Source organism: Homo sapiens, chromosome 5 (genome assembly GCF_000001405.40).
Source record: "Homo sapiens chromosome 5, GRCh38.p14 Primary Assembly".
Classification (NCBI taxonomy): domain Eukaryota; kingdom Metazoa; phylum Chordata; class Mammalia; order Primates; family Hominidae; genus Homo; species Homo sapiens.
Genome location: NC_000005.10, coordinates 46,373,234 through 46,398,032, shown reverse-complemented (window position 1 = coordinate 46,398,032; position 24,799 = coordinate 46,373,234). Strand labels below are relative to the sequence as shown.

Below are 24,799 nucleotides of genomic sequence, written 5' to 3'. Positions count from 1 at the left end.
CCAAATATCCACTTGCAGACACTACAAAGAGAGTATTTGAAAACTGCTCTATGAAAAGAAAGGTTCAACTCCGTGAGTTTAATGCACACATCACAAAGCAGTTTCTGAGAATGCTTCTGTCTAGTTTTTATGTGAAGATATTTCCTTTTCCACCTTGGCCTCAAAGCTCTCCAAATGTCCACTTGCAGATTCTACACAAAGACTGTTTCAAAACTGCTCTATCAAAAGAAAGGTTCAACTCAGTGAATTGAAGGCATACATCACAAAATAGTTTCTGAGAATGCTTCTGTCTAGTTTTTAAGGGAAGATATTCCCGTTTCCAATGAAGGCCTCAAACCGGTCGATATATACACTTCAGATCCCACAAAAAGAGTATTTCAAAATTGCTCTATCAAAAGCAAAGTTCAACTCTGTTAGTTGAAAGGACACATCACAAAGTAGTTTCTGAGAATACTACTGTCTAGTTTTTATGTGAGGATATTACTTTTTCCACCATAGGCCTCAAAGCTCTCCAAATGTCCACTTACAGATTCTACAAAAAGAGTGTTTCAAAGCTTGATTATCAAAGGAAGTGTTCAACACTGTGAGTTGAATGAACACAACACAAAGTAGTTTCTGAGAATCCTTCTGTCTAGATTTTATAGGAAGATATTTTCTTTTCTACCGTAGGCTTCAAATCACTCCAAATGTACGCTTGCATATTCTACACAAAGATTGTTACAAAACTAACCTATCAAAAGGAAGGTTCAAGTCTGTGAGTTGAATGCACACATCACAAAGAAGTTTCTGAGAGTGCTTCTGTCTAGTTTTTATGTGAAGATATTTCCTTTTCCAAAGTAGCCCTCAACGAGCTCCAAATGTCCACTTGCAGATACTACAAAAAGAGTGTTTCAAAACTGCTCTATTAAAAAGAAGGTTCAAATATGTGAGTTGAATGTACACATCACAAAGAAGTTTCTGAGAATGCTTCTCTCTAGTTTTTATGTGAAGATATTTCCCTTTCCACCACAGGACTCAAAGCTTTCCAAATGTCCACTTGCATATTCTACAAAAAGAGTGGTTCAAAGCTGCTCTATCAAAGGAAAGGCTCAATTCTGTGAGTCTGAATGCATACAACACAAAGTACTTTCTGAGAATGCTTTTGTCTAGTTTTCACAGGAAGATATTTTTTCCTTTTCTACTATAGGCCTCAAAGCACAGCAAATGTCTGCTTGCAGATTCTACACAAAGAGTGTTCCAAGACTTCTCTATCAAAAGGAAGGTTCACCTCTGTGAGTTGAATGCACACATCACAAAGAAGTTTCTGAGAATGCTTCTGTCAAGTCTTTATGAGAAGATATTCCCATTTCCAGTGAAGGCCACAAAGCAGTCTAAATATCCACTTGAGATTCTACAAAAAGAGTTTCAAAACTGCTCTATGAAAAGAAAGTTTCAACTTGGTGAGTTGAATGCACACATCACAAAGACGTTTCTGACAATGCTTCTGTCTAGTTTTTATGTGAAGATATTTCCTTTTCCACCATAGCCCACTAAGTCCTCCAAATGTCCACTTGCAGATTCTACAAAAATAGTGTTTGAAAACTGCTGTGTCGAAAGGAAAGTTCACTTCTGTGAGTAGAATGCACACATCACAAAGAAGTTTCTGAGAATGTTTCTGTCTAGTTTTTACGTGAAGATATTCCCGATTCCAATGACGGCCTCACAGCGGTCCAAATGTCTATTTGCAGATTCTGCAAAAAGTTTGTTTCAAAACAGCTCTATCAAAGGAGGGTTCAACTCTGTGAGTAGAATGCACACATCACAAAGAAGTTTCCGGGAATGCTTCTGTCTAGTTTTTATGTGAAGATATTTCCTTTTCCAACATAGGTCTCAAAGCTCTCCAAGTGTCCCCTTGCAGATCCTACAAAAAGAGTGTTTCCAAACTACTCCATCAAAACGAGGGTTCAACACTGTGAGTTGAATGCACACATCAAAAAGAAGTTTCTGAGAATGCTTCTGTCTAATTTTTATGTGAAGATAATTCCTTTTCCACCATAGCCCTCAAAGCGCTCCAAATGTCCACTTGCAGATTTTACACAAAGACTGTTTCAAAACTGCTCTATGAAAAGGAAGATTCAACTCTGTGAGTTGAATGCACACATCACAAAGGAGTTTCTGAGAATGCTTCTGTCTAGTTTTTATGTGAAGATATTTCCTTTATTACAATAGCCCACAAAGAGCTTCAAATGTCCACTTGCAGGTTCTACAAAAAGAGTGCTGCAAAACTGCTCTATGAAAAGGTCTGTTCAACTCTGTGAGTTGAATGCAAACATCACAAAGAAGTTTCTGGGAATGCTTCTGTCTAGTTTTTATGTGAAGATATTTCTTTTTCCACCATAGCCCTCAAAGCGCTCCAAATGTCCACTTGGAGATCCTACAAAAAGAGTGTTTCAAAACTGCTCTATCAAAAGGAAGGTTCAACTCTGGGAGTTGAATGCATACATCAGAAAGTAGTTTCTGAGAATGCTTCTGTCTAGCTTTTATGAGAATATAATCCCGTTTCCAGCGATTGTTACAAATCTGTCCAAATATCCAGTTGAAGTTTCTACAAAAAGAGTGTTTCAAAACTGCTCTATCAAAAGGAAGGTTCAAATCTGTGAGTTGAATGCACACATCACAAAGAAGTTTCTGAGAATTCTACTGTCTAGTTTTGATGTAAAGATATTCCCATTTACTACAAAGGGCTCAAATTGGTCCAAATATCCACTTTTGGATTCCACAAAAAGAGTTATAAAACTGCTCTATCCAAAGAAATGTTCAACTCTGAGTTCAATGCACACATCACAAAGAACTTTCTGAAAATGCTTCTATATAGTTTTGATGTGAAGATATTTCCAGTTGCACCATAGCCCTCAAAGCCCTCCGAATGTCCACTTACAGAATTTACACAAATAGTGTTTCAAAACTGCTCTATGAAAACGAAGGTTCACCTCTTTGAGTTAAGTGCACACATCACATACAAGTTTCTGAGAATGCTTCTGTCTGGGTTTCATGTGAAGTTATTCCGGTTTCAACTATAGGCCTCAAAATGCTCCAAATATCCACTTGCAGATTCTACAAAAATAGTGTTTCAGAACTTCTGTATCAAAAGATATGCTCAACTCTGTGAGTTAAATTCAATCATTGCAAAGAAGTTTCTGAGAATTCTTCTGTCTAGTTCTTTTGTGAAGATCTTTTCTTTTCCACCGTAGGCCTCAAAGGTCTCCAAATGTCCACTTGCAAATTCTACAAAAAGAGTGTTTCAAGGCTCCACTATCAAAAGAAATGTTCAACACTTTGATTTGAATGAACACAACGCAAAGTATTTTCTGAGAATACTTCTGTCTAGTTTTTATATGAAGATATTTCCTTTCTTACCATAAGCCTCATAGTGCTCCAAATGTCCACTTTCAGATTCTACACAAAGAGTGTTGAAAAACTACTCTATCAAAAGGAAGATTCACGTCTGTAATTTGAATGCACACATCAAAAGAAGTTTCTGAGAATGCTTCTGTCTAGCTTTTATGTGAAGATATTCTCGTTTCCAACGAAGTCCTCAAACAGGTCCAAATATCCACTTGCAGATTCTAAAAAAAGAGTGTTTCAAAACTGCTCTATCATAAGGAAGTTTCACCTCTGTGAGTTGAATGCACACATCTCAAAGAAGTTTCTGAGAATTCTCCTGTCAAGTTTTTATTAGAAGATATACAAGTTTCCAACAAAGGCCACAAAGCAGTCCAAATATCCCCTTGCAGATTCTACAAAAAGAGTGTTTCAAAACTGTTTTATGAAAAGGTATGTTCTCCTCTGTGAGTTGAATGCAAACATCCAAGGAAGTTTCTGAGAATGCTTCTGTCTTGTTTTTATGTGAAGATATTTTCTTTTCCAACATAGACCTCAAAGTGCTGCAAATGCACACTTACAAATTCTACGAAAAGAGTATTTCAAAACTGTTCTATCAATAGGAATGTTCAACTCTGTGAGTTGAATCCAAACATCACAAAGAAGTTGCTGAGAATGCTTCTGTCGAGTTATGAGAAGATATAAACCTTTCCAAAGAAGGCCACAAAGAACTCCAAATATCCACTTGCAGAGTCTACAAAAAGAGTGTTTCAAACCTGCTCTATCAAAAGGAAGGTTCAACCCTGTAAGTTGAATGGACATATCACAAAGAAGTTTCTGAGAATCCTTCTGTCTTGTTTTTATGTGAAGATATTTCCTTTTCCACCGCTGGCCTCAATGTTCTCCAAATATTCACTTGAAGATTCTACAAAATAGTCTTTCAAAACTGTTTTATCAAAGGAAAGTTTCAACTCTGTCAGATGAATGCACACATCACAAAGTATTTTCTAAGAATGCTTCTGTCTAGTTTTTATGGGTAGATATTTCATTTTCCGACATAAGCATCAATGCACTCCAAATATCCACTTGCGGATTGTAGAAAAAGTGTGTTCCAAAAGTGTTCTATCAAAAGAATGGTTCAACACTGTGAATTGAATGCACACATCACAAAGTAGTTTCTGAGAACGTTTCTGTCTAGTTTTTATATGAAGATATCTTGTTTTCCAACATAGGCCTCAAAGGAAGCAAAATATCCCCTTGCAGGTACTACAAAAAAAGTGTTTCAAAACTGCTCTATCAAAAGAAATGTTCAACTCTGTGAGTTAAATGCACACATCACAAAGAAGTTTCTCAGAATGCTTGTGTCTAATTTTTAAGTGAAGATATTTTGTTTTCCAACATCTGCCACAAAGGGAAACAAATATCCCCTTTCAAATTCTACAAAAAGAGTGTTTCAAAACTGCTGTATGAAAAAAAGGTGACTGTTTCAAAACTGCTCTATGAAAAGGAGGGTTCAACTCTGTGAGTTAAATGCACACATCACAAAAAAGTTTCTCAGAATGCTTGTGTCTAATTTTTACGTGAAGATATTTTGTTTTCCAACATTTGCCACAAAGGGAAACAAATAACCCCTTTCGAATGCTACAAGAAGAGTGTATCAATACTGCTGTATCAAAAGAAAGGTGACTGTTTCAAAACTGTTCTATGAAAAAGAAGGTTCAAATCTATGAGATGAAAGCAAACATGACAAAGAAGTTTCTGAGAATGCTTCTGTCTCGTTTTTATGTGAAGATATTTCCTTTTCCACCATAGGCCTCAACGTGTTCCAAATGAACACTTGCAGATTCTACAAAAAGACTGTTTCAAAAGTGCTCTATCAAAAGAAAGGTTCAAATCTGTGAGTTGAATACACACATCACAAAGCAGTTTCTGAGAATACTTCAGTCTAGTTTTTATGTGAAGATAAACCCGTTTCCAACGAAGGCCTCAAAGAGCTCCAAAGATCCACAAGCAGATTCTACAAAAGGAGTGTTTCAAAACTGCTCTATCAAAAGAAACGTTCAACTCTGTTAGTTGAATGCGCTCATCACAAAGAAGTTTCTCAGAATACTTGTGTCTAATTTTTATGTGAAGATATTTTGTTTTCCAACATTTGCCACAAAGGGAAACAAATATCCCCTTGCAAATTCTACAAAAAGAGAGTTTCAAAACTGCTCTATCAACAGAAAGTTTCAACTCTGTGAGTTGAATGCACACATCCACAGAAGTTTCCGAGAATGCTTCTGTCTAGTTTTTATGTGAAGATATTTCGTTTTCCACCATAGGTTTCCAAGCGCTCCAAATATCAACTTGCAGATTCTTAAAAAAGAGTATTTCAAAACTTCTGCTTCAAAACAAAGTTTCAACTCTGTGAGTTGAATGCACACATCGCAAAGAAGTTTCTGAGAATGCTTCTGTCCACTTTTTATGTGAAGATATTTCCTTTTACACCATAGGCGTCAAAGCGCTCCTAGTATCCACATGCAGATTCTACAAAAAGAGTGTTTCAAAACTTCTCTATCAAAGGAAATGTTCAACTCTGTGAGTTGAATGCACACATCACAAAGAAGTTTCTGAGAATGCTTGTGTCTAGTTTTTATGTGAAGATAGTTCGTTTTCCAACATAGGCAACAAAGGAAACAAAATATCCCCTTGTAAAATCTGCAAAAACAGTGTTTCAAAACTGCCCTATCAAAGAAAGGTTCTACTCTGTTAGTTGAAGGCACACATCCAAAGAAGTTTCCGAGAATGCTTCTGTGTAGTTTTTATGTTAAGATATTTCCCTTTTCACCATAGTCCTCAAAGGGAACGAAATATCCACTTGTAGATTCTGCAAAAAGAATGTTTCAAAACTTCTCTATGAAAAGAGAGCTTAAACTCTTTGAGTTGAATGCACACATCACAAAGAAGTTTCTGAGAATGCTTCTGTCATTTTTTTTTTGTGACGATATTTCCTTTTCAACCATAGCCCTCCAAGTGCTCCAAATATCCATTTGCAGATTCTACAAAAAGAGTGTTTCAAAACTGCTCTATCAATAGAAAGGTTCAACTCTGTGAGTTGAATGCACACATCACAAAGAAGTTTCTGAGAATGCTTCTGTCTAGTTTTTATGTGAAAATATTTCCTTTTTCACCGTAGGCCTCAAAGGGAACCAAATATCCACTTGCAGATTCTACAAAAAGTGTGTTTCAAAACTTCTCTATCATCAGAAGAAAGGTTCAACTCTGTGAGTTGAATGCATACATCACAAAGAAGTGTGGGAGAATGATTCTGTCTAGTTTTTATGTGAAGATATTTCCTTTTCCACCATAGCCCTCCAAGCGCTCCAAGTGTCCACTTCCAGATTCTACAAAAGGAATGTTTCAAAACTATTCGATCAAAAGAAAGATTCCATTTATTTACATTTAAAGTTAATATTGTTATGTATGAATTTGATCCTGTCATTATGATGTTAATGGGTTATTTGGCTTGTTAGTTGATGCAGTTTCTTCCTAGTCTCGATGGTCTTTAAATTTTGGCATGATTTTACAGTGGCTGGTATCAGTTGTTCTTTTCCATCTTTAGCGCTTCCTTCAGGAGCTCTTTTAGGGCAGGCCTGGTGGTGACAAAATCTCTCAGCATTTGCTTCTCTGTAAAGTATTTTATTTCTCCTTCACTTATGAAGCTTAGTTTGGCCAGATATGAAATTGTGGGTTGAAAATTCTTTTCTTTAAGATTGTTGAATATTGGCCCCCACTCTCTTCTGGCTTGTAGGGTTTCTGCGGAGAGATCTGCTGTTAGTCTGATGGGCTTCCTTTTGAGGGTAACCCGACCTTTCTCTCTGGCTGCCCTGAACATTTTTTCCTTCATTTCAAATTTGGCGAACCTGACAATTATGTGTCTTGGAGCTGCTCTTCTTGAGGAGTATCTTTGTGTCATTCTCTGTATTTCCTGAATCTGAATGTTGGCCTGCCTTGCTAGATTGGGGAAGTTCTCCTGGATAATATCCTGCAGAGTGTTTTCCAACTTGGTTCCATTCTCCCCATCACTTTCAGGTACACCAATCAGACGTAGATTTGGTCTTTTCACATAGTCCCATATTTCTTGGAAGCTTTGCTCATTTCTTTTTTTTTTCTCTAAACTTCCCTTCTCACTTCATTTCATTCACTTCATCTTCCATCGCTGATACCCTTTCTTCCAGTTGATTTCATCAGCTCCTGAGGCTTCTGCATTCTTCACGTAGTTCTCAAGCATTGGTTTTCAGCTCCATCAGCTCCTTTAAGCACTTCTCTGTATTGGTTATTCTACTTATACATTCTTCTAAACTTTTTTCAAAGTTTTCAACTCTTTGCCTTTGGTTTGAATCTCCTCCCATAGCTCGGAGTAATTTGATTGTCTGAAGCTTTCTTCTTCTCTCAGCTCGTCAAAGTCATTCTCAGTCCAGGTTTGTTCCTTTTCTGGTGAGGAACTGTGTTCCTTTCGAGGAGGAGAGGCACTCGGCTTTTTAGAGTTTCCAGTTTTTCTGCTCATTTTTTTCGCCATCTTTGTGGTTTTATCTACTTTTGCTCTTTGATGATGGTGATGTGCAGATGGGTTTTTGGTGTGGATGTCCTTTCTGTTTGTTAGTTTTCCTTCTAACAGACAGGACTCTCTGTCTGCACGTCTGTTGGAGTACCCGGCTGTGTGAGGTGTCAGTCTGCCCCTGCTGGCGGGTGCCTCCCAGTTAGGCTGCTTGGGGGTCAGGGGTCAGGTACCCACTTGAGGAGGCAGTCTGCCCGTTCTCAGATCTCCAGCTGCATACTGGGTGAACAAATGCTCTCTTCAAAGCTGTCAGACAGGGACATTTAATTCTGCAGAGGTTACTGCTGTCTTTTTGTTTGTCTGTGCCCTGCACCCAGAGGTGGAGCCTACAGAAGCAGGCAGGCCTCCTTGAGCTGTGGTGGGCTATATCCAGTTCGAGCTTCCTGGCTGCTTTGTTTACCTAGGCACGCCTGGGCAATGGTGGGTGCCCCTCCCCCAGCCTCACTGCCACCTTGCAGTTTGATCTCAGACTGCTGTGCTAGCAATCAGTGAGACTCCGTGGGCATAGGACCCTCTGAGCCAGGTGCAGGCTATAATCTCCTGGTGCACCGTTTTTTAAGCCCATCAGAAAAGCTCAGTATTAAGGTGGGAGTGACCCGATTTCCCAGGTGCTGTCCGTCACCCCTTTCTTTGAGTAGGAAAGGGAAATCCCTGACCTTTGCACTTCCTGGGTGATGCAATGTCTTGTCCTGCTTCAGCTCACACACAGTGTGTGCACCCACTTACATGCACCCACTGTCTGGCACTCCGTAGTGAGATGAACCCCATACTTAGCTGGAAATGTAGAAATCACCCATCTTCTGCGTCGCTCACACTGGTAGCTGTAGATGGGAGCTGTTCCTATTAACTTTAAATGTAAATGGACTAAATGCTCCAAATAAAAGTCACAGACTGGCAAATTGGACGAACAGGCAAGACCCATCAGAGTCCTCTATTCAGGAAACCCGTCTCACGTGCACAGACACACACAGGCTCAAAATAAAAGGATGGAGGAAGATCTACCAAGCAAATGGAAAACAAAAAAGGCAGGGGTTGCAATCCTAGTCTCTGATAAGACAGACTTTAAACCAACAAAGATCAAAAGAGGCAAAGAAGGCCATTACATAATGGTAAAGGGATCAATTCAACAAGAAGAGCTAACTATCCTAAATATACATGCACCCAATACAGAAGCACCCAGATTCATAAAGCAAGTCCTGGCTCACCTACAAAGAGACTTAGACCCCCACACATTAATAATGGGAGACTTTAACACCTCACTGTCAACATTAGACAGATCAACGAGACAAAAAGTCAACATGGATACCCAGGAATTGAACTAAGCTCTGCACCAAGCAGACCTAATAGACATCTACAGAACTCTCCACACCAAATCAACAGAGTATACATTCTTTTCAGCACCACACCACACCTATTCCAAAATTGACCACATACTTGGAAGTAAAGCTCTCCTCAGCAAATGTAAAAGAACAGAAATTGTAACAAACTATCTCTCAGACTACAGTGCAATCAAACTAGAACTCAGGATTAAAAATCTAACTCAAAACCGCTCAACTACATGGAAAACCTGCTCCTGAATTACTAGTTGGTACATAACGAAATGAAGGCAGAAATAAGGATGTTCTTTGAAACCAACGAGAACAAACACAACATACCAGAATCTCTGGGATGTATTCAAAGCAGTGTGTAGAGGGAAATTTATAACACTAAATACCCACAAGAGAAAGCAGGAAAGATCCAAAATTGACACCCTACTATCACAATTAAAAGAACTAGAAAAGCAAGAGCAAACACATTCAAAAGCTAGCAGAAGGCAAGAAATAGCTGAAATCAGAGCAGAACTGAAGGAAATAGAGATACAAAAAACCCTTCAAAAAATTAATGAATCCAGGAGCTGGTTTTTGGAAAGGATCAACAAAGTAGATAGACCACTAGCAAGACTAATAAAGAAAAAAAGAGAGAAAAATCAAATAGACGCAATAAAAAATGATAAAGGGGATATCACCACTGATCCCACAGAAATACAAACTACCATCAGAGAATACTACAAACACCTCAATGCAAATAAACTAGAAAATCTAGAAGAAATGGATAAATTCCTCGACACGTACACCCTCCCAAGACTAAACCAGGAAGAAGTTGAATCTCTGAATAGACCAATAACAGGATCTGAAATTGTGGCAATAATCAATAGTTTACCAACAAAAAAGAGTCCAGGACCAGATGGATTCACAGCACAATTCTACCAGAGGTACAAGGAGGAACTGGTACCATTCCTTCTGAAACTATTCCAATCATTAGAAAAAGAGGGAATCCTCCCTAAGTCATTTTATGAGGCCAGCATCATTCTGATACCAAAGCCAAGCAGAGACACAACCAAAAAAGAGAATTTTAGACCAATATCCTTGATGAACATTGATGCAAAAATCCTCAATAAAATACTGGCAAACCAAATCCAGCAGCACATTAAAAACTTATCCACCATGATCAAGTGGGCTTCATCCCTGGGATGCAAGGCTGGTTCAATATATGCAAATCAATAAAGGTAATCCAGCATATAAACAGAATCAAAGACAAAAACCACATGATTATCTCAATAGATGCAGAAAAGGCCTTTGACAAAATTCAACAACCCTTCATGCTAAAAACTCTCAAAAAATTAGGTATTGATGGGACGTATTTCCAAATAATAAGAGCTATCTAAGACAAACCCACAGCCAATATCATACTGAATGGGCAAAAACTGGAAGCATTCCCTTTGCAAACTGGCACAAGACAGGGATGCCCTCTCTCACTACACCTATTCAACATAGTGTTGGAAGTTCTGGCCAGGGCAATTAGGCAGGAGAAGGAAATAAAGGGCATTCAATTAGGAAAAGAGGAAGACACATTTTCCCTGTTTGCAGACGACATGTTTGTATATCTAGAAAACCCCGTTGTCTCAGCCCAAAATCTCCTTAAGCTGATAAGCAACTTCAGCAAAGTCTCAGGATACAAAATCAATGTACAAAAATCACAAGCATTCCTATACACAAACAACAGACAAACAGAAAGCCAAATCATGAGTGAACTCCCATTCGCAATTGCTTCAAAGAGAATAAAATACCTAGGAATCCAATTTACAAGGGACGTGAAGGACCTCTTCAAGGAGAACAACAAACCACTGCTCAAGGAAATAGAAGAGGATACAAACAAATGGAAGAACATTCCATGCTCACGGGTAGGAAGAATCAATATCCTGAAAATGACCATACTGCCCAAGGTAATTTACAGATTCAATGTCATCCCCATCAAGCTACAAACGACTTTCTTCACAGAATTGGAGAAACCTACTTTAAAGTTCATATGGAACGAAAAAAGAGCCCGCATCGCAAAGTCAATCCTAAGCCAAAAGAACAAACCTGGAGGCATCACACTACCAGACTTCAAACTATACTGCAAGGCTACAGTAACCACACCAGCATGGTACTGGTACCAAAACAGAGATATAGATCAATGGAGCAGAACAGAGCCCTCAGAAATAACGCCGCATATCTACAACTATCTGATCTTTGACAAACCTGAGAAAAACAAGCAATGGGGAACGGTTTCCCTATTTAATAAATGGTGCTGGGAAAACTGGCTAGCCATATGTACAAAGCTGAAACTGGATCCCTTCCTTACACCTTATACAAAAATCAATTCAAGATGGATTAAAGACTTAAATGTTAGACCTAAAACCATAAAAACCCTAGAAGAAAACCTAGGCATTACCATTCAGGACATAGGCATGTGCACGGACTTCATTTCTAAAACACCAAAAGCAATGGCAACAAAAGCCAAAATTGACAAATGGGATCTCATTAAACTAAAGAGCTTCTGCACAGCAAAGGAAACTACCATCAGAGTGAACAGGCAACCTACAGAGTGGAAGAAAATTTTTGCAATCTACCCATCCGACAAAGGGCTAATATCCAGAATCTACAATGAACTCAAATTTACATGAAAAAAACAACCCCATCAAAAAGTGGGCGAAGGACATGAACAGACACTTCTCAAAAGAAGACATTTATGCAGCCAAAAACACATGAAAAAATGCTCATCATTACTGGCTATCAGAGAAATGCAAATCAAAACAACAATGAGATACCATCTCACACCAGTTAGAATGGCAATCATTAAAAAGTCAGGAAATGGCAGGTGCTGGAGAGGATGTGGAGAAATAGGAAGACTTTTACACTGTTGGTGGGACTGTAAAGTAGTTCAACCATTGTGGAAGTCAGTGTGGCAATTCTTCAGGGATCTAGAACTAGAAATACCGTTTGACCCAGCCATCCCATTACTGGGTATATACACAAAGACTATAAATCATGCTGCTATAAAGACACATGCACACGTATATTTATTGTGGCATTATTCACAGTAGCAAAGATTTGGAACCAACCTAAATGTCCAACAAGGATAGACTGGATTAAGAAAATGTGGCACATATACACCATGGAATACTATGCAGCCATAAAAAATGATGAGTTCATGACCTTTGTAGGGACATGGATGAAATTGGAAATCATCATTCTCAGTAAACTATCGCAAGGACAAAAAACCAAACAACGCATATTCTCACTCATAGGTGGGAATTGAACAATGAGATCACATGGACACGGGAAAGGGAACATCACACTCTGGGGACTGTTGTGGGGTGGGGGTAGAGGGGAGGGATAGCACTGGGAGATATACTTAATGCTAGATGACGAGTTAGTGGGTGCAGTGCACAAGAATGGCACATGTATACATATGTAACTAACCTGCACAATGTGCACATGTATCCTAAAACTTAAAGTATAATAAAAAAAATTGTTTTCAAACTGCTCAATCAAAGGAAAGGTTCACCTCTGAACTGGATGTACACATCATAAAGAAGTCTCTGAGAATGCTTCTGTCTGGTTTTTATGTTAAGATATTTCGTTTTTGAACATAAGCCTCAATGGAAACAAAATATCCACTAGCAGATTCTACAAAAAGTGTGTTTCAAAACTGCTCTTTCAAAGAAAGGTTAAACTCTGTGAGTTGAATGCACACATCAAAAAGAAGTTTCAGTGAATGCTCCTTTCTAGTTTTTATGTGTAGATATTACGTTTTCCAACATAGGCCTCAAAGGAAACAAAATAGCCACTTGCAGATTCTACAGAAAGAGTGTTTCAAAACTTCTCTATCAAAACAAAGTTTCACCTCTGGGGTTGAATGCTCACATCAGAAAGAAGTTTCTGAGAATGCTTGTGTGTAGTTTTTATGTGAGGATATTTCGTTTTCCAACATAGGCCACAAAGGGAACAAACTGTCCCTTTGCAAATTCTATAAAAAGACTATTTCAAACTGCTTTATCAAAAGAAAGGTTCAACTCTGTGAGTTGAATGCACACATCCAAATAAGTTTCTGAGAATGCTTCTGTCTATTTTTTATGTGAATATATTACCTTTTCCACCATAGGCCTCCAAGCACTCCAAAAACCCACTTCCAGATTCTACAAAGAGAGTGTTTCAAAATTGCTCTATCAAAAGAATCTTTCAGCTCTTTGAGTTGAATGCACACATCACAAAGAAGTTTCTGAGAATGCTTTTGTCTAGTTTTTGTGAGAAGATATTTTGCTTTCCACCACAGCCCTCCAAATGCTCAAAATACCCACTTGCAAATTCTTCAAAAAGAGTGTTTCAACACTGCTCTATCAAAAAAAAAGGTTCAACTCTGTGAGTTGAATTCACACATCACAAAGAAGTTTCGCAGAATGCTTGTGTCGAGTTTTTATGTGAAGATATTTCCTTTTCCACAATAGGACATAAAGTGCCCCAAATATCCATTTGCAGATACTACAAAAGGAGTGTTTCAAAACTGCTCAGTCAAAAGAAAGGTTCAACTCTGTGAGTTGAATGCACACATCACAATGAAATTTCTGAGAATGCTTCTGTCTAGATTTTATGAGAAGGTATTTCGTTTTCCCCAAAGGCATCAAAGAAAACAAAATATCCACTTGCAGACGCTACAAAAACAGTGTCTCAAAACTGCTCTATCAAAAGAAATGTTCAGCTCTGTGAGTTGAATGCACACATCACAAAGAAGTTTCAGAGAATCCTTCTGTCTAGTTTTTATGAGAAGATATTTTGTTTTCCCCATAGGCCTCAATAAAACAAAATACCCACTTGCAGATTCTACAAAAAGAGTGTTTCAAAACTGCTCTATAAAAAGAAAGGTTCAACTCTGTGAATTTTTTGCACACATCACAAAGAAGTTTCCTGGAATGCTTCTGTCTAGTTTTTATGTGAAGATATTTCCTTTTCCAACATAGCACTCCAACGCGCCAAATATCCACTTGCAGATTCTACAAAAAGTGTGTTTCAAAACTGCTCTATCAAAAGAAAGGTTCAACTCTGTGAGTTGAATGCACCCATCACAAAGCAGCTTCTGAAAATGCCTCTTTCTAGTTTTACTGTGAAGATATTACCCTTTCCACCATAGCCCTCAAAGTGCTCCAAATGTTCACATGCAAATTCTACAAAAAGAGTGTTTCAAATCTGCTCTATTAAAAGAAAGGTTCAACTCTGTGAGTTGAATACACACATCGCAAAGTGTTTCCTGAGAATGCTTCTGTCTAGTTTTTATATGAAGGTATTTCCTTTTAAACCATAGACCTCAAATCGCTCCAATTATTCACCTGCAGATTCTAGAAAAAGAGTGTTTGAAAACTGTTCTATCAAAAGGAAGGTTCATGACTGTGAGTTGAATGCACATGACACAAAGAAGTTTCTGAGAATGCTTCTGTCTATTTTTTTAAGTGAAGATATTCCCGTCTCCACCGAAGGCATCAAAGAGCTCAAAATATCCACCTGCTGATACAACAAAATGAATGTTTCAAAACTGCTCTATGAAAAGAAAAGTTCAACTCTGTTAGTTGAATGCACATATCACAAAGCAGTTTCTGAGAATGCTTCTGTCTAGTTTCTGTATGAAGATATTCCCTTTTCCACCACAGGCCTCTAAGTGCTCCAAATGTACACATGCAGATTCTACAAAAAGAGTATTTCAAAACTGCTCTATCAAAAGCAATGTACAACTCTCTAATTTGAATGCAAATATCACAAAGAAGTTTCTGAGAATGCTTCTGTCTAGTTTTTATGTGAAGATATTTCCTTTTTCACCACAGGCTTCAAAGCCCTCCAATGTCCACTAGCAGATTCTACAAAAAGAGTGCTTCAAAACTGCTCTATCAAAGGAACGGTGCAACTCTGTGAGTTGAATTCTCACATGACAAAGAAGTTTCTGAGAATTCTTCTGTCTAGTTTTTATGTGAAGATATCCCCGCTTCCACTGAATGCCTCAAAGCACTCCGAATATCCACTTGCAGATTCTAGAAATAGAATGTTTCAAAACTGCTCTATGAAAAGGAATGTTCAACTCTGTGAGTTGAATGCAAACATCACAAAGAAGTTTCTGAGAATGCTTCTGTGTAGTTTTTATATGAAGATATTTCCTTTTCTACCATAGGTTTCAACGCATTCCACACATCAAAAATCAGTTTCTGAGAATTTTGATGCACACATCAGAAATCAGTTTCTGATAATGCTTCTGCCTATTTTTATATGAAGATATTTCCTTTTTCACCGTACATCTCAAAGCGCTCCTAATGTCCACTCGCAGATCTTACAAAAAGACTGTTTCAAAACTGCTCTATCAAAAGAAAGGTTAAACTCTGTGAATTGAATGCAAACATCACAAAGCAATTTCTGAAAATGCTTCTGTCTAGTTTTTATATGAAGATATTTCCTTTTCTACCATTGGCCTCAAAGTGCTCCAAATTTCCACTTGCAGATTCTACAAAAAAGAGTGTTTCAAAACTCCTCTATCAAAAGGAAAGTTCATCTCTCTGCGTTGAATGCACACATCACAAAGAAGCTACTGAGAATACTTCTGTCTATTTTTTATGTGAAGATATTCCCATTTCCACCATAGGCCTCAAAGAGCTCAAAATATCCACATGCAGATTTTACAAAAAGAGTGTTTCAAAACTGTTGTATCAAAAGAAATGTTCAATTTGCTTAGTTGTGGGTACATCACAAAGCAGTTTCTGACAATGCTTCTGTCAAGTTTCTGTATGAAGATATTTCCTTTTCCACCAAAGGCCTCTAAGCACTCCAAATGTCCACATGCAGATTCTACAAAAAGAGTATTTCAAAACTGCTCTATCAAAAGAAATGTACAACTCTGTGATTTGAATGCAGACATCACAAAGAAGTTTATGAGAATGCTTCTGTCTAGTTTTTATGGGAAGATATTCCCTTTTCCACCAGAGACCTCAAAGCGCTCAAAATATCCACTTGCAGATTCTACAAAAAGAAGAGTGTTTCAAAACTCCTCTATGAAAAGGATGGCACATGTATACATAAGTAACTAACTGGCACAATGTGCACATGTACCCTAAACCTTAAAGTATAATACTAAAAGAAAAAAAGAAAAAAAAAAAGAAAAGGAATATTCAACCCTGTGAGTTGAATGCAAACATATCAAAGAAGTTTCAGAGAATGATTCTGTCTACTTTTTAACTGAAGATATTTCGTTTCCCAACACAGGCCACAAAGGAAACAAAATATACACTTGTAGATACTATAAAAAGATTGTTTCAAAACTGCTCTATCGGCCGGGCGTGGTGGCTCACGCCTGTAATCCTAGCACTTTGGGAGGCCGAGACGGGCGGATCACGAGGTCGGGAGATCGAGACCATCTTGGCTAACACGGTGAAACCCCGTTTCTACTAAAAATACAAAAAATTAGCTGGGCGTGTTGGCGGGCGCCTGTAGTCCCAGCTACTTGGGAGGCTGAGGCAGGAGAATGGCATGAACCTGGGAGGCGGAGCTTGCAGTGAGCCGAGATCGCGCCACTGCACTCCAACCTGGGAGACACAGCGAGACTCCGTCTCAAAAAAAAAAAAAAAAAAAAAAAAAACAAAAAAAAAAACTGCTCTATCAAAAGGAAGTTTCAACTGTCTGAGTTGAATGCACACATCACAAAGAACTTTCTGAGAATGCTTCTGTCTAGTTTTTATGTGAAGATATTCCCGTTTCCAATGAAGGCCTCAAAGCCGTCAAATTATCCTCTTGCAGAATCTACAAAAAATGTGTTTCAAACTGCTCTGTGAAAAGGAGTGTTCAAGTCTATGAGTTGAATGCAAACATCACAAAGAAGTTTGTGGGAGTGCTTCTGTCTATTTTTTATGTGAAGATATTTCCTTTTTCACCATAGGCCCCAAAGCCCTCCAAATGTCCACTTGCAGATTCTGCAAAAAGAGTGTTACAGAACAGCTCTATCAAAAGAAAGGTTCAACTCTGTGAGTTGAATGCACACATCACAAAGCAGTTTCTGAGAATGCTTCTGTCTTGTTTTTAAATGAAGATACTTCCTTTTCTACCATATGCCTCAAAGTGCTGAAAATATCCACTTGCAGATTCTACGAAGGGTTTTTCAAAACTGCTCTATCAAAAGGAAGGTTCAACTCAGTGAGATGAATGCACACATCACAAAGAAGTTTCTGAGAATGCTTCTGTCTAGTTTTTATGTGAAGATATTTAATTTTCCACCACTGGCCTCTAAGTGTGCCAGATGTCCACTTGCAGATTGTACAAAAAGAGTGGTTGAAAACTGATCTATCAAAGGAAAGGTACAACTCTGTGAGTTGAATGCACACATCTAAAAGAAGTTTCTGAGAATGCTTCTGTCTAGTTTTTATGTGAAGATTTTCCCGTTTCCAATGAAGGCTTCAAAGCACTCCAAATATCCACTTGCAGTTTCTACAAAAGGGTGTTTCAAATTGCTCAATGAAATGGCAAGTTCAACTCTGTGAGTTGAATGCAAGCATCACAAAGAAGTTTCTGAGAATGCTTCTGTTTACTTTTTATGTGAAGAAATTTCCATTTCGACCGTAGCCCGCAAAGTGCTCCAAATGTCCATTTGCAGATTCCAAAAAAATAATGTTTCAAATTTTTCTATGAAAAGAAAGGTTAAAATCTGTGAGTTGAAGGCACACATCACAAAGTACTTTCTGAGAATGATTCTGTCTACTTTTTGTATGAGGATATATACTTTTCTACCACAGGCACCAAAGCGCTCAAATATCCGCTTGCACATTCTACAAAAATTCAGAGTGCTCCAAATATCCACTTGCAGATTCAAAACTGCTCTATCAACAGGAAGGTTCAACTCTGTGAATTGAATGTAAACATCACAAGGAAGTTTCTGAGAATGTTTCTGTCTAGTTTTTATGTGAAAATATTCCCGTTCTCAAAAAAGGCTTCAAAGCGCTCCAATTATCCACTTGCAGATTCTACAAAAAGAGGGTTTCAAAACTGCTCTATCAAAAGGAAGTTTCAAGTCGGTGAGTTGAATGCACACATGAAAAAGTAGTTTCTGAGAATGCTTGTCTCTAGTTTTATGTGAAGATATTCCCGTTTCCAATGAAGGCCTCAAAGCAGTCCAAATATACACTTGCAGATTCTACAAAAAGAGTGTTTCAAAACTGCTCTATCAAAAGAAAGGTTCAACTCCGTGAGTTGAATGCAAACATCACAAAGAAGTTTCTGAGAATGCTTCTGTCTGGTTTTTATGTGAAGATATTTTCTTTTCCACCAAAGCCTTCAAAGCACTCCAAGTGTCCTTTTGCAGACACTACAAAAAGAGGGTTTCAAAACTGCTCTATCAAAAGAAAGGTTCAACTCTGTAAGTTGAATGCACACATCCCAAATTAGTTTCTGGGAATGCTTCTGTCTAGTTTTTATATGAAGTTATTTCCTTTTGTACCATAGGCCTCAAAGCGCTCCAAGTATCCTTTTGCAGATTCTACAATAAGAGTGTTTCAGAACTGCTCTATCAAAAGGAAGGTTCAACTCTGTGTGTTGAATTCACACATCACAAAGAAGTTTCTGAGAATGCTTCTGTCTAGTTTTTATGTGAAGATATTTCCGTTTCCCCCAAAGTCTTCAAAGCACTCCAAATATCCACCTTCAAATTCTACAAAAAGAGTGTTTCAAAGCTACTCTTTCAAACGGAAGGTTCCACTCTGTGATTTGAATGGACACATCACAAATAAGTTTCTGTGAATGCTTCTGTCTAGTTTTTCTGTGAAAATATTCACATTTCCAAAGATGGCTTCAAAGCACTCCTAATATCCACTTGCAGATTCTACATAAAGAGTGTTCCAAATTACTCTATGAAAAGGTATGCTCAACTCTGTGATTTGAATGCGCACATCACAACGAAGTTTCTGAGAATGCTTCTCTATAGTTTTTATGTGGAGATATTCCCGTTTCCAAAGAAGGCTTCAAAGTGCTCCAAATATCCACTTGCAGATTCTACAAAAAGAGTGTTTCAAAACTGCTCTATCAAAAGGATGGTTCAAGACTGTGAGTTGAATGCACACATAAAAAAGAAGTTTCTGAGAATGCTTCTATCTTGTTTTATGTGACGATAATCCTGTTTCCAAAGAAGGCTTCAAGGCCCTCCAAATATCCACTTGCATATTCTACAGAAAGAGTGTTTCAAAACTGCTCTATCAAAAAAAGGTTCAAGTTTGTGAGTTGAATGCACACATCAAAAAGAAGTTTCTGAGAATGCTTCTGTCTAGTTTTATGTGAAGATATTCCCATTTCCAACAAAGGCCTCAAAGCGGTCCAAACATCCACTTGCGAATTTTGCAAAAAAAGTGTTTCAAAACTGCTCTATCAAAAGAAAGGTTCAACTCCGTGAGTTAAATGCAAACATCACAAAGAAGTTTCTGAGAATGCTTCTGTGTAGTTTTTAAGTGAAGATATTTCCTTTTCCACCACAGCCCACAAAGTGCTCCAAATGTCCACTTGCAGATTCTACAAAAAGAGTGTTTCAAAAATGCTCTATCAAAAGAAATGTTAAACTCTGTGAGTTGAATGCACACATCACAAAGTAGTTTCTGAGAATGCTTCTGTCTAGTTTTTATATGAAGATACTTCCTTTTCTACCATAGGCCTCAAAGCGCTCCAAATATCCACTTGCAGATTCTACATAAAGAGTGTTGCAAAAATGCTCTACCTACAGAAAATTGCAACTCTGTGATTTGTATGCACACATCACAAAGAAGTTTCTGAGAATGCTTCCGTCTAGTTTTTATGTGAAGATATTCCCGTTTCCAATGAAGACTTCAAAGCACTGCAAATATTCACCTGCAGATTCTACAAAAAGCTTGTTTCAAAACTACACTTTAAAAGGAAGATTCAACTCTGTGAGTTGAATGCACAGATCACAAAGAATTTTCTGAGAATGCTTCTGTCTAGTTTTTACTTGAAGATACTTGCTTTTCAACCGAAGGCCTCAAAGAGCTCGAAATGTCCACTTGCAGAGTCTACAAAAAGAGTGTTTTGAAACTGCTCTATCCAAAGAAATGTTCTACTCTGTGAGTTGAACGCACACATCACAAAGGAGTTTCTCAGAATGCTTCTGCCTAGTTTTTATGTGAAGATATTCCCATTTCCAATGAAAGCCTCAAGGCGTTCCAAATGTCCAGTTGCAGATTCTACAAATGAGTGTTTCAAGACTGCTCTATGTAAAGTTATATTCAACTCTGTGAGTTGAAAGCAAACATCATAGAGAAGTTTCTGAGAATGCTTCCGTATAGTTTTTTTAAAAAATTATTATTATTCTTTAAGTTTTAGGGTACATGTGCGCAATGTTCCAGTTAGTTACATATGTATACATGTGCCATGGTGGTGCGCTGCACCCACTAACTCGTCATCTAGCATTAGGTATATCTCCCAGTGCTATCCCTCTCCCCTCCCCCAACCCCACAACATTCCTCAGAGTGTGATGTTTCCCTTCCTGTGTCCATGTGTTCTCATTGTTCAATTCCCACCTATGAGTGAGAATATGGGGTGTTTGGTTTTTTGTTCTTGTGATAATTTACTGAGAATGATGATTTCCAATTTCATCCATATCCCTACAAAGGACTTGAACTCATCATTTTTTATGGCTGCATAGTATTCCATGGTTTATGTATGTCACATTTTCTTAATCCAGTCTATCATTGTTGGACATTTGGGTTGGTTCCAAGTCTTTGCTATTGTGAATAATGCTGCAATAAACATACGGGTGCATGTGTCTTTATAGCAGCATGACTTATAGTCCTTTGGGTATATACCCAGTAATGGGACGGCTGGGTCAAACGGTATTTCTAGTACTAGATCCCTGAGGAATTTCCACACTGACTTCCACAATGGTTGAACTAGTTTACAGTCCCACCAACAGTGTAAAAGTCTTCCTATTTCTCCACATCCTCTCCAGCACCTGTTGTTTCCTGACTTTTTAATGATCGCCATTCTAACTTGTGTGAGATGGTATCTCATTGTTGTTTTGATTTGCATTTCTCTGATGGCCAGTGATGATGAGCATTTTTTCATGTGTTTTTTGGCTGCATAAATGTCTTCTTTTGAGAAGTGTCTGTTCATGTCCTTTGCCCACTTTTTGATGGGGTTGTTTGTTTTTTTCTTGTAAATTTGTTTGAGTTCATTGTAGATTCTGGATATTAGCCCTTTGTCAGATTAGTAAGTTGTGAAAATTTTCTCCCATTTTGTAGGTTGCCTGTTCAATCTGATGGTAGTTTCTGTTACTGTGCAGAAGCTCTTTAGTTTAATTAGATCGCATTTGTCAATTTTGGCTTTTGTTGCCATTGCTTTTGGTGTTTTAGACATGAAGTCCTTGCCCATGCCTATGTCCTGAATGGTAATGCCTAGGTTTTCTTCTAGGGTTTTTATGGTTTTAGGTCTAACGTTTATGTCTTTAATCCATCTTGAATTGATTTTTGTATAAGGTGTAAGGAAGGGATCCAGTTTCAGCTTTCTACATATGGCTAGCCAGTTTTCCCAGCACCTTTTTTAAAATAGGGAATCCTTTCCCCATTGCTTGTTTTTCTCAGGTTTGTCAAAGATTAGATAGTTGTAGATATGCGGCGTTATTTCTGAGGGTTCTGTTCTGCTCCATTGATCTATATCTCTGTTTTGGTACCAGTACCATGCTGGTTTAGTTACTGTAGCCTTGTAGTATAGTTTGAAGTCTGGTAGTGTGATGCCTACAGCTTTGTTCTTTTGGCTTAGAATTGACTTGGTGATGTGGGCTCTTTTTGGTTCCATATGAACTTTAAAGTAGGTTTCTCCAATTCTGTGAAGAAAGTTGTTTGTAGCTTGATGGGGATGGCATTGAATCTGTAAATTACCTTGGGCAGTATGGTCATTTTCAGGATATTGATTCTTCCTACCCATGAGCATGAAATGTTCTTCCATTTGTTTGTATCCTCTTTTATTTCCTTGAGTAGTGGTTTGTAGTTCTCCTTGAAGAGGTCCTTCACGTCCCTTGTAAGTTGGATTCCCAGGTATTTTATTCTCTTTGAAGCAATTGCGAATGGGAGTTCATTCATGATTTGGCTCTCTGTTTGTCTGTTGTTTGTGTATAGGAATGCTTGTGATTTTTGTACATTGATTTTGTATCCTGAGACTTTGGTGAAGTTGCTTATCCGCTGAAGGAGATTTTGGGCTGAGACGATGGGATTTTCTAGACATACAATCATGTCGTCTGCAAACAGGGACAATGTGACTTCCTGTTTTCCTAATTGAATACCCTTTAATTCCTTCTCCTGCCTAATTGCCCTGGTCAGAACTTCCAACACTATGTTGAATAGGAGTGGTGAGAGAGGGCATCCCTATCATGTGCCAGTTTGCAAAGGGAATGCTTCCAGTTTTTGCCCATTCAGTATGATATTGGCTGTGGGTTTGTCATAGATAGCTCTTATTATTTGGAATTACGTCCCATCAATACCTAATTTATTGAGAGTTTTTAGCATGAAGCGTTGTTGAATTTTGTCAAAGACCTTTTCTGCATCTATTGAGATAATCATGTGTTTTTTGTCTTTATTTCTGTTTATGTGCTGGATTACATTTCTTGATGTGTGTATATGGAACCATCCTTGCATCCCAGGGATGAAGCCCACTTGATTATGGTGGATAAGCTTTTTGATGTGCTGCTGGATTCGGTTTGCCAGTATTTTATTGAGGATTTTTGCATCAATGTTCTTCAAGGATATTGACCTAAAATTCTCTTTTTTTGTTGTGTCTCTGCCAGGCTTTGGTATCAGGATGATGCTGGCCTCATAAAATGAGTTAGGGAGGATTCTCTCTTTTTCTATTGATTGGAATAGTTTCAGAAGGAATGGTACCAGTTCCTCTTTTTACCTCCGGTAGAATTGTGCTGTGAATCCATCTGGTCCTGGACTCTTTTTCGTTGGTAAGCTATTGATTTTTGCCACAGTTTCAGATCCTGTTATTGGTCTATTCAGAGTTTCCACTTCCTCCCGGTTTAGTCTTAGGAGAGTGTAGGTGTTGAGGAATTTATCCATTTCTTCTAGATTTTCTAGTTTATTTGCGTAGAGGCATTTGTAGTATTCTCTGATGGTAGTTTGTATTTCTGTGGGATCGGTGGTGATATCGCCTTTATCATTTTTTATTGTGTCTATTTGATTCTTCTCTCTTTTTTTCTTTATTAGTCTTGCTAGCGGTATATCAGTTTTCTTGATCCTTTCAAAAAACCAGCTCCTGGATTCATTAATTTTTTAAAAGGTTTCTGTGTCTTTATTTCCTTCAGTTCTGCTCTGATTTCAGCTATTTCTTGCCTTCTGCTAGCTTTTGAATGTGTTTGCTCTTGCTTTTCTTGTTCGTTTAATTTTGATGTTAGGGTGTCAATTTTGGATCTTTCCTGCTTTCTCTTGTGGGCATTTAGTGCTATAAATTTCCCTCTACACACTGCTTTGAATGCATCCCAGAGATTCTGGTATGTTGTGTCTTTGTTCTCGTTGGTTTCAAAGAACATCTTTATTTCTGCCTTCATTTCGTTATGTACCAACTAGTCATTCAGGAGCAGGTTGTTCAGTTTCCATGTAGTTGAGCGGTTTTGAGTGAGATTCTTAATCCTGAGTTCTAGTTTGATTGCACTGTGGTCTGTGAGATAGTTTGTAATAATTTCTGTTCTTTTACATTTGCTGAGGAGAGCTTTACTTCCAAGTATGTGGTCAATTTTGGAAGAGGTGTGGTGTGGTGCAGTGCTGAAAAACATGTATATTCTGTTGATTTGGGGTGGAGAGTTCTGTAGATGTCTATAAGGTCCACTTGGTGCAGAGCTGAGTTCAATTGCTAGGTATCCTTGTTGACTTTCTGTCTCGTTGATCTGTCTAATGTTGACAGTGGGGTGTTAAAGTCTCCCATTATTAATGTGTGGGAGTCGAAGTCTCTCTGTACGTCACTCAGGACTTGCTTTATGAATCTGGGTGCTCCTGTATTGGGTGCATATATATTTAGGATAGTTAGCTCTTCTTGTTGAATTGATCCCTTTACCATTATGTAATGGCCTTTTTTGTCTCTTTTGAGCTTTCTTGGTTTAAAGTCCATTTTATCAGAGACTAGGGTTGCAACCCCTGCCTTTTTTGGTGTTCCATTTGCTTGGTAGATCTTCCTCCATCCTTTTATTTTGAGCCTATGTGTGTCTCTGCACGTGAGATGGGTTTCCTGAATACAGCACAGTGATGGGTCTTGATTCTTTATCCAATTTGCCAGTCTGTGTCTTTTAATTGGAGCATTTAGTCCATATACATTTAAAGTTAATATTATTATGTTTGAATTTGATCTTGTCATTATGATGTGAACTGGTCATTTTGCTCGTTATTTGATGCAGTTTCTTCCTAGTCTTGATGGTCTTTACATTTTGTAATGATTTTGCAGCGGCTGGTACCTGTTGTTCCTTTCCATGTTTAGC

General features: G+C 38.1%; 1 annotated feature.

Annotated features, from left to right (window-relative positions):
- Positions 15,575–16,076: an enhancer, noted in NCBI's record as "NANOG hESC enhancer chr5:46382059-46382560 (GRCh37/hg19 assembly coordinates)". NCBI's record gives its function as "activates a minimal SCP1, AML or CMV promoter by ChIP-STARR-seq in primed H9 embryonic stem cells {active_cell/tissue: H9 hESC(primed)}" and the evidence as "EXISTENCE:reporter gene assay evidence [ECO:0000049][PMID:30033119]".